At 36.9% G+C, this 11,015-nt stretch overlaps 1 non-coding gene across 1 annotated transcript; it reads left to right on the top strand.

Moving 5' to 3' along the window:
- The first annotated feature begins 10,675 nt into the window (after positions 1–10,675).
- On the top strand, positions 10,676–10,806 carry LOC124900267 (small nucleolar RNA SNORA51). Its single transcript, XR_007061205.1, has one exon. It is a non-coding gene; the product is annotated as a small nucleolar RNA SNORA51 (small nucleolar RNA).
- The last annotated feature ends 209 nt before the right edge of the window (positions 10,807–11,015 follow it).

Genomic DNA, 11,015 nt, shown 5'->3' with positions numbered 1-11,015 from the left:
TACAAACCTTTCAAATGGCAGTCATTAATGGAATTTTCATTTTTGTTTTTGACAGCATATGATTTTGTAAGTGATCTGGCTAAAGGCAGAAATGCTAAAAATGTACAAGCGTTATCTTACTGAACAACAATGTAAGTGTTTCTTAGTGGTTCAGACATGTAACTCTTCTGTCATTTAGATCAAGAGTGAAGATCTTACTTATCCTTATCTTGACTTCCTTGGATGTCACATGCAGGCATATAGCCTAAGACAACAGAGAGCTGAGTATTTATAGCTATTCTTGAAAATGATCATCTCCTACCCCTAAAAGTACTAAAATTGGATGTAGTTACTGGCTTTCACCAAAGCATGACACAGACTTTTTCATGCATCACCAGTTCTGTCAGTTTCAGTTCTTTTGTCCATGAAGATAGAGAACGACTTCTCTGGGCTGCATATCAGAGCCAAAAGCTTAATAAACAACCAAATGACATTCTTATTATGTTTTAAGTGCTTTCCTTACATTTGCTAATTCAATCATGCTTAACAGGAGGAAAATGACTTCCTCAGTTGGAAGTTTTAATTAATAATTATACTAAAGCAAAAACTTAGACTTTGATACATTTCAACACACACACAAACAAATGTCTTGAGGTTGATTTTTTTTCAGATTTTCACTATTACTAAAAGAAAATTCTCTTGAAAAGTATCTCAACAAAAAGGCTTTTTGTTCAACTGACACTGATAAGATATGACTGGTTAGAAAGAAACATTTGGCTGTGTTTTGTGTACATATTGGCAATCTGGAACCATGTAGCTAAATTAAAGAAGGATCTCCATTTCAAAAGTGATGTTAACTCTTGTAGTCCCAGTCCACGTTACTAATAGGAAAAATCAGGGACCCTTTCTATATTATTCTTTTATTCATTAATTTGATACAGATTTATTGATATTTATTTATTGAAATATTAAATCAGGTACAATTCCAGGCATTGACGATACAGCTCTGAATGAAGCAAAGTCCTGCCTTCAAAAGTATATATTCTAGAACAGAAAATATGTCAATATACAAGAGAAAAATCATATTCAACATTAAGTGACGAAGTTCACAAAGGGCTTTGACTCCAATCTGACCCTGGCTGGACTGCCCTAAGAATCTGCATAGAACTCTTGCCTCCTGGCAGACAGGCACACTCAGGAGGACGGGGGCTGCTGGCATCTCCCTTCCCCATGAGTGCCTGATGATGGCTGCTGCCACCTCCTATCTCAGCTGCAGGTGCCCCTTCAGAGCTGTCCTCAGACCATTTGCTGGGCCACCACAATCCCCAGCTCCACTTCCAACTGCTGCCGATGGAGGAGGAGCCATGCTGCTGTAGCTCTTCACCATGGGCCACAAAGCTGTAGAAGTTCTAGCCCCTGCCCACCTAACCAGCCTCATCTGCCCACAATCTCCCACCTGCACAGCCAACTTCAGCACACTTTCCTTGCTTTACTTTAAACTTCCTTAGCTCATTCCAAAATCACATCCCTTTCTCTCAGATTCTTACATGGCTAGCTTTTTTTCATTAACCAAACCTCAGCTCAAATATCACCTCTTCACAGAGGGCTTCTTTGACCACATTATTAAAATGTGTGTCCCCTCTCATATCACATTTTCAAGTTCCATTTTCCTTACTTGTCATTATCTGAAATTACTGTGTGTCATTGTTAGTTGATTACTGTGTGTCTTCCTGACTATAATGCAAGCTCTGTAACAGAAAGGACTCTGTCTATGGTGGTCACTGTTGCATCCCCAGCACTTGGAGCAGAGTCTGGGACATGTAGGCCCTCAGTATCTGTTTGTTGAATGAGTGAAATGAATGTTACTGCACTCATTCTCATCCAAATTGAGTGTGAATCATCTATCATTCCAGAAGAACAAAGTTGAAAAGAATCATACACATCAAAGAGGAAAACTTTCATTGCTTCACTCAAGTACGCACTCAAATAAGATGACCTTCCAAAGTTTGTTGACATTGCCAAATATTTTTTACCTTAAATTTTGTTTTTGTTTTGTTTTGTTTTGAGACAGAGTCTCACTCTGTCACCAGGCTGGAGTACAGTGGCACAATCTTGGCTCACTGCAACCTCCACCTCCTGGGTTCAAGTGATTCTCCTGCCTCAGCCTCCTGAGCAGCTGGGACTACAGGTGCCTGCCACCATGCCCAGCTAATTTTTGTATTTTTAGTAGAGATGGGGTTTCACCATGTTGGCCAGGATGTTCTCGATCTCTTGACTTCGTGATCTGCCCGCCTTGGCCTGCCAAAGTGCTGGGATTACAGGCATGAGCCACCATGCCTGGCAACCTTAAAATTTTAATTCATTTTATTACAAAATGAATTAAAATTTTAATTCATTTTCCTAGGCAGAATAATGTATTTCTTCTTTGACATCCCATAGAACATTGTATATATGTCTGCAGAGTAAAGCATAGGTGATAGTGACAATGAACTGAGAAAAGAATAATTTCTAACTCATTGCTTCCAGGGGAATGCATAATACGTTAACTAGAAAGAGCCATTAAACTGCACAGTGGAACATCTGTTTTCAGGTTTGTCACCAAAAGGAAGTGACTGTTTCCATCAAAGGGAATCACAAATTCCATTATCTTTAACTCAATGCACAGATCACTTAGCTCAAAGAAAAATTACTGCCTCTAGCGTATTAAGTTCAAAAGACAGAGTCACAGCATCATTTCTAGGGTTTAAAAATGAGGCTAGCTAGAGTTGACACACACACAACCAAAAAATAAAATAAAGCGAACATCATCAAAGCTTAAAATTTTGTGTATCAAAAGACATTATGAAGAAAGTTAAAAGACATACTACAAAATGGGGAAAAAAAAATTGTGTCTTAAATCTGCCAAGGGTCTAGTATCCAGAATTTATAAAGAATTCTTACAACTCAATAACAAATAGGAAAATAATCCAATTTTAAAATTGTGCAATAGACTCAGATAGCCATTTCCCCAAAGAAGATATACAAATGGCCAATAAGCATATAAAAAGCTATTCAACATCATTAGTCTTTAAGGATTGCAAATCAAAGCCACAGTGAGGTAATACTTCACACCCACTAGGTGTCTTTTTTATTTTTTTAATGGAAAATAAGTGTTGGTGAAGAGCTAGAGAAATTGGAACCCTTGTGTATTGCTGCTGGTAATGTAAATTGGCACTGCCACTGTGGAAAACAGTTTGGCAGTTCCTCAAAATGTTAAATAGAATTACCATATGACTTCCAACTATACTCCTAAGTATAGGCCCAAAAGAATTGAAACAGGGCCTCAAACTAGTACTTGTGCACACATGTTCACAGCAGCACCAGTCACATTAACCTAAATGTGGAAACAGCCCCAATGTCCATCCGTGGATGAATGAATCAACAAATATGATGACATATGCCACTCCACTTCATCCTGGGCAACAGAGTGATACCTTAGCTCAAAAAAAAGACAAAAAATTAGTCTATGATGCTTATCAGAGATATGCCTTAGACAAATGATATAAAGAGAATAAGGTATATGTAAACATAAAAGAAAGCTAATGACATTATTAATTTCAGACAAATCATAATTCACAACTAAAATTATCAAAGCAGCAAGAGGTATATAATTATCAAATAATGTGTAACAATTATACACAAGATATACTGTATACTGAATAACATACTGTCATGGTATTTAAGACTCTCGTCTTAGAAAAAGAAACTAGAAAACCAAATTTTGTAGGAGACTTTAACATGGTTCTCTTGACCTTTGTTAGATCAAAAAGGTAAACAGTGCAGACAGAATTTGGCTTTGTAATTTATGTCTGTATTGAATTTTATACTCTGCTAACCTCATACAGTTTTGCAGCTAGCAGCACATAGCCTATACACATAGCTACAAACCTGCATAGCATGTTACTGTACTGAATACTGTAGGCAATTGTAACACGATCATAAGTATTTGTGTATATAAACATATTTAAACAGAAAAGTACAGTAAAGATACAGTATCGTAATCTCATGGGACCACCATTGTATATGTCATCCATAGTTGACCTAAACAGTATTATGCAGCACATGATTATATTTTGTTTTCAAAAGTACATAGAACATTTACAAAAATTTAGGTAGCAAACAAAATTTTCAAATTTCAATTCATTCCACAGTGATTTAAATGGACAGTTGTGATTATTTCTTTTACATGTCAATTTCACTGGGTTAAGGGATACCCAGGAAGCTAGTAAAACATTATTTCTGGGAGGGTCTGTGAGAGTGTTTCCAGAGGAGAATGGTATTTGCCTCAGTAGACTGAGTATAGATAATGTACTCTCATCAATGTAGGTGGGCATCATCCAATCCATTAAATGTCAGAATAGAACAAAAATGTGAAAGAAGGGTAAATTCTCTCTCCCTTCTTGAGTTGGAACACCCATCATCTCCTGCCCTGGAACATGGAAGCTCCCAGTTCTCGGATCTTCAGACTCTGGGACTTATACCTGAGGCCTATCACTGCCACCACCCTGCCCCCACCACCATTCGCAGGCCTTCGGCTTCCAGCTGAATTACACCAGGGAGTTTCCTGGTACTTCAACTTGCAGAAGGCAGATGGTGGGACTTCTTGCCCTCCATAGTCACATGAGCCAATCACATGAGCCAATTCCTGTAACAATTTATGTAATAAATAGCAGAGCAGAGGGAAAAAGTGAAGAACAGATCGAGCTGAGAGCAGATCAACAGTTTCTTGGCACTGTTGGACATTCCTGCTACATATTTTTCATCCTTCTTCGTCCTTACGTTTCAGGTGTTCTACTTTATCACAGTTTACTTTATTGCCTATCACTTTGTTTAAAGTCTGACAGTTTCTGGATAAATATTTGTATTTTTTAAAAATTTTTCATGGAGTTATTTTAGATGTATTAAGTATTTTGTGGCTTCTTTCCTCATCCTATATGTTTGCTCTGTTAATTCAGGAAAATACCTCCTTTTATCTCATCATCCTTCTGAGATCATTTTCCTTCTACCTGAAATATATGATTTTTCTTTCTGGTTTATTCTTGTTAGCAATAAAACCTTTTCATTTTTATTGGCCTAAAATGTCTTTTAAAAAAAAACCTTCATTCTTAAAAGATAATTCAGGATTATCTTGAAAGATAATTCAGGATTATCTTGAAAGATAATTCAGGATTGACAGTTTATTTTATTGGAGTGTCTCCTTCTGTCTTACAAGTCTCTTAACCTCCCATTTTTTCAGATGGCTCTTCCAGATTGCTACTTCTTTTTACAACTGCTTTAAATTTACTGTTTAACCAGTCTATTAGTCTCTAATTTCATTCATAGTCTCAAATTTCATCTCTATTTTTAAATCAAATCTTTCTAGTCAATTTTTGTAGTCTCATTTTTTTTGGTCATGCTTTTAATATTATCTTTTAAAAAAGATATCTTAAACATATTTTTCAATATTTTTATCAGATAATTCTAACAACTAGTGATTAAAGATCTGATTCGGTAGTTTTATGCTTAGTGTGACTCACTCAGGCAGCTTGGTTTTTAATATGTCTGGAGATGTTTCTTAGAATTTCAGCTGTGGGAATTCCTTGAGGGTACTTTTGAAATGCATCTCTTCAGAGGGGTTTTGCTCTTGCTTCTTCTGAATGTGGTGTAAGGCAGCAGTCTCCAACCTTTTTCCATGAAGTTGGTGGCTGGTGGGTTTGGGGGACGCGGGGGTGGTTTCAGGATGAAACTGTTCCACCTCAGATCATCAGACATTAGTTAGATTCTCATAAAAAGCGTGCAGCCTAGATCCCTCGCATGCACAACAGGGTTCACGCTCCTATCAGAATCACGCTCCTATCTATCATGCTCCTATCAGAAGGCCACCGCTGATCTGACAAGAGGCGGAGCCCAGGCAGTAATGCTGGCTGGCCGCTGCTCACCTCCTGTTGTGCAGCAGGTTCCTAACCAGCCGACAGAAGGGTACCGGTCCGCGGCCCGGGAGTTCCAGACCCCTGCTCTAAGACCTGAAATTAAGATTCTGTATTACGTGCTGCCTTGTCACCTGAAACTTGGAGGACCACAGATGGCCAAACTGTAACACTCCCTTCCCAATTCTACTCCTATGGATAATATGGATAAGGTCCCCTAGCCAAAAAAAAAACAAAACAAAACAAAAAAAAAAACTGTACTTCTCATAGAGACCAAGCACAAGGCCCGCTTACCCCTGAATGGCAGGCTTCAGTTTCCTGCCAGTCTGCGGAATGATTCAAACCAACCAACCACAATCTCTCACATGAAGCAGGGGTCACCTCATCCTCTTAATACTACAAAGACTGCCTCCCGTAGCCACTCTGTGTTCACTCTGCAAGGACAACCCCCTTGTGACCCTGCATGGCACGAGGTCTTCCTCCCCCAGGCTGTGCGTGTGTGTGATTAATAAACTGCTATCGATCTCTTCTGTCCAGGGTGGAGTGTGGTGTGTTCAGCCGTCTTCATAACCCTAGGTTGGGAAACCCTCCCTCAGGACAGAGTGAAGAGACAGCAAATAAAACATTGGCCTTTAAGGGCATTACCAACCTATAACACTTCAACTAAATTTCTATCTTGGGAATTTGGAGACTCATTTACATGTAATATAAACACAGGCCTCAACTCCAGATAAGCGTAAGCAAAGTTTATACCTTCACCTGGGAAAAGAGTTTTTTTTCTTCCAGTTTTCTTCTTCTTTACTCAAACTCAACATAAGATAAACATAAACTGTACCATCTCTCTCTGAAGTGTTTTCTCTATCTACTACCTACGGTAGGTGTTGCCCTGTAGCACTTCCACTCTTTCTATGAGGGTCTCTGATTTGACTTTTAGCCCTAACAGCACCATGGTTTATTTCCTATCCCCTACGCAGGACTTATTAAACCCACTCAAGGCATCCCCCAGGTAAAATACTAACCCCTGTGCCTACTTGCCGCATAATTTCTGCTTTTCTTGCCCTTTTAGACTTCTAAGGTTTTCTTTTTCCTTGTCAGAAGCTCCATCATGCATTACAAATATTTCTGGTTATATATTTTATACAGCTTCCTTTTTTTTTCTATACCAGGAGGAGTTTTCTAAGCATTTCTCTCTCTCTCTCTCTCTCTCTCACATACACACAACCAGAATACAAAACCGAACTTGAACCTTTCTGCAGGTGATTAAATGTTCTTCAAACGTGATTATTATTGGTGTCACAGCATTTAATCATAGCCCTTTAATCATAGAAATGCAACAATTCTATTTTCAGACATTGTTTCAAAATCGTAATATCTTTACAATTATAAATAGTGCTACAGCTACAAGACGATGTACAAAAATCTTTGTGTCGCTGATTATTTCCTTAGAATAGATTCTTGGATGTGTTATTATCCTGACAAAGGGTATGAACTCTTTTGAGCTCTTGATATATTTTGCCAAATTGCTTTCTAGAAAGGTTGTAGCAATTTACAATTCACTGCAGTGTGTGTTAGGTGAAAAGTGATGTATCATAGATGATTTAATGTGCATTTCCTGATTACCCATGAAGTTGAACATTAACTGAGTGTGTTTTGTGTTTAACCAATTCCCTTGTAAGAATACAAGGTGATTTTAATCATCCAATTTGGAGCTTTATTCATTTCTTCACTCAAAATATTTGTGAATCTTACTCTAAGCATAATACTGCATTAAACCGAAGGATTAGCTCACCACCTTGGTGTACTTCAATACGTGTGGAATAACTGGCATACAAGGCAACAATTATGTACTGAGGCAGAGAAATGTAGCGGAAAATGAAGGCTTGTACTCAGCAAACACACTGCTGTACAAAAGAAGAGATCCTTATTTCTCTGTTTTGAGTAATCAACATGAGCCTTAATGTAATTTCATGCTTTCTCTTGAAAAAGAAAATACCATATTGAAATCTAACTTTCAATGATTTTTAATTTGGCTATTTTACAGTTAATAGTGTTCTTCCACCCCAGGGCTGTTTTGGAACCATTCAGCACTTACTATTTGCTATGCCTACGTCTTGCTCAACAGCAGTCTTGTTTCCATTGTTGTTGGGAGGGGATCAGCTAATTGGCACCTAAAGCAATTCTGAGATATTATTTAATGAACTATTACAATTTAATACAACTGATAAAATCGTCAGCTTTTCTCTTAGTTTTATTTATAACATTCATATGATGCGTTCTTAAAAAAGTCTTCCTGTGTGATGCCTCCCTTGGAACAGCCATTCATCTTCCTGTTGCACTGTCATAATTATTCATGAGAATTTCTCATCCTAGCAAAGGCCGCTCATGGGAAAATGTGGCCATCTCAATGAAATTGGGTGATACCCCCACCAGGATGGCCCTTCAAACCCTAGATAAACAGCTTTATGCCTCTTCATTCCCTTTACTTCCACAGACAGAGGGCCTGTATGCTGCAGGCAAGGATAAAAACATATGTACACATCTCATTTGTCTGAGTAACCAGTATCAGAGGGCTAATAGGAAAGAATATATATATTTATGTTATATAGTATATATTTATATTTTAATATGTAGTATATATAAATTCGTAGATGTATTCAGTTGATGTAAAAGTAATTGCAGTTTTTTTGACATTAAAACTAATGGCAGAAACCACAATTACATTTTTACCACCCTAATAATATACATACATTTACATTACATGATTTTATGTATAATGTAAACATATGTAAAAATATAAGTTTGTATAATATAGAAGTATATAAAAAATAAGAAAATATAAGTATACGTAACATAATGTAAAACATAAATATATAATATATCAAAATGTAAGTGTATATAGACATATATAATATATACTATATATTATATAAGAATATAATACATAACATATTTTATGTATGAACATTATATATGTACTATATATGTATATATAAAATACAATATAAAATATAGGGGTGTTGTGAGGGGGTTTGTATACACACATACATACATACATACATATATTTCCACTTAAAAAATAGAAGTAGGTAACATTTAATGCAGGAAAAAAGCAGACTATATATTAAGAAACAGTTTTATTAAGGGAATAATTTTGTTCTGTAATGATAATTTTTGCACTACCCTCCCAGTGCACTGGCTGTATGAAGGCTCCATTTACTATGTAGGTTGCCAGAGCTAAGAAGTGTCTTTCTTAATCTCAATCACTACAGGCCTAATATGGTAGATGTGATGGTCTATTAGAGTACCCTACACCGCTAAGTCTTAGATTTACTGAAAGAGTGGGAGGAAAAAGCCAAAAAGGAAGGAGGGAAGGAAGGAGGGAAGAAGACAGAGAAGGATGGAAGGTAGGAATGGTTTGCAGGATGGCAGCCCTTCTGATCTCAGCTGGGGTTGCTCGTGTATCCATAGACAACTTTGCTGAACTTGGCTGGTCTCTTCCATTATGCTAGCATATGCTTGCTCTCATAGTGGTGGCATAATTTAGTTAGCTTAGTTTTAAGCCTAGAACTCAAGAGCCTAGGCATCTTGAGTTCTAGGCTTAAAACTAGCATAGTTTCCATCATTTTCTATTGTCAAAAGCAAATGCCAATATGAATCTAGACTTAAGAACTAGGAGAACAGACTCTACTTCTTGCTAGAAGAAATTGCAAAGTTGTATTGCAAGGAACATAAATAAAAAGAGGTGAAGAATTGGAGCTATTTTTGAAATCCATCTACCTAATGTTATTATTTAAAATAAAGTTGTGTACATTATTCTCCCTAATTTTTCTTAAGTTTATTCACATTTATACATCTACCTTTTATAAAAACAAATGATGCTATAGATATTTACCTCCAGGTTTGTTGTGAAAATAACTTGATGTGATCAGTATCTTTCCAGTTAGTACATACAGCTAGATTTTTCTTTTTGATGGCTGCATAGGGTTTAATAAATCATGATGCCATAATTTTTTGAACCATTTACCTATGGATGAAAATATAGTTCACTTTTTTTCCTATTGCAAGCATATCATTACAAGCACATGTTTGTATACTCATGGTTTTAATTGTAAAGCTTTGTTTCCTAGAAGAGTAATTTCTAGTTGGAAGCGTGTGTACATATTTCATTTTAATGGATGATATTTACCTTATAGAAAAGAGCTAGTATTGGTTATATATTTGTCATAGTAATTAATGTTAGTTGCTGGAACAGATAACCATAAAACACAGTGACTTAACACAAAGTCAGATATAAATCAGGCTATCTTGGATCTACTCCATGTGGTGACTCAGGAACTCCAGCTTCTTCCTCTACCACACGCCTCTGTCACCTCAGAGAATGGGCTCAGAGTTCCCTCACTAGATACTCTGATTCAATAAGCTATCAAGAAGATAGGGAGCAAACTAAGGAAGATAACAAGAGATGTTTTAAGGCCAAGACTTGAAGTGGCTTATTTTCTTCCACCTATGTTACTTTGGTCAAAATTCAGTCAAATCATCCAATCTAACTAACTACAAGGAAGGCTGGGAAATGTAGCTTTCCTGTTTGCCCAAGAGTAGGAGTAGTATTGGCTAGCGTCTGGGCAGTGTGTGCCTCTGATGATGATATTGTTTCTGTACACGATATTTCTATTATCTTTATTATTGTTATTATCATTTGAAAATCCTGAAAAGCTCAAAAAGGAACAAGGAACAAATAATAATACCAGAACAGCCTCCTGGTGTTTAACACAGCTGTGTTCTTATACTGACTGTGTAGAAAGAGAAGGAAATAAACCTTACCCCATATGCATTTCATCCCCGGACCCTGCACCTCGTCTATATTGTGAATAGGGAAATATGGAAGACCATCGTTCCAGACCTTTTACAATTGGAAAATGAATCAAATATTCTCTATCCATTCCATCCCAACCCTAGAGGTAAACATTGCTAATAATTTGGAGTTTATCCTACTTGGTTTGTTTCTGTAACATGCACCTACCTGTTTAGTAAGTATGTGTTTACCTATGTATACCCCTATATGTTATGAGCTGAATTATGTCTTCCCAAACT

Source organism: Homo sapiens, chromosome 8, assembly GCF_000001405.40.
Source record: "Homo sapiens chromosome 8, GRCh38.p14 Primary Assembly".
Classification (NCBI taxonomy): domain Eukaryota; kingdom Metazoa; phylum Chordata; class Mammalia; order Primates; family Hominidae; genus Homo; species Homo sapiens.
The sequence above is the reverse complement of the archived record's forward strand: the minus strand, read 5'-3'. Positions and strand labels throughout refer to the sequence as shown.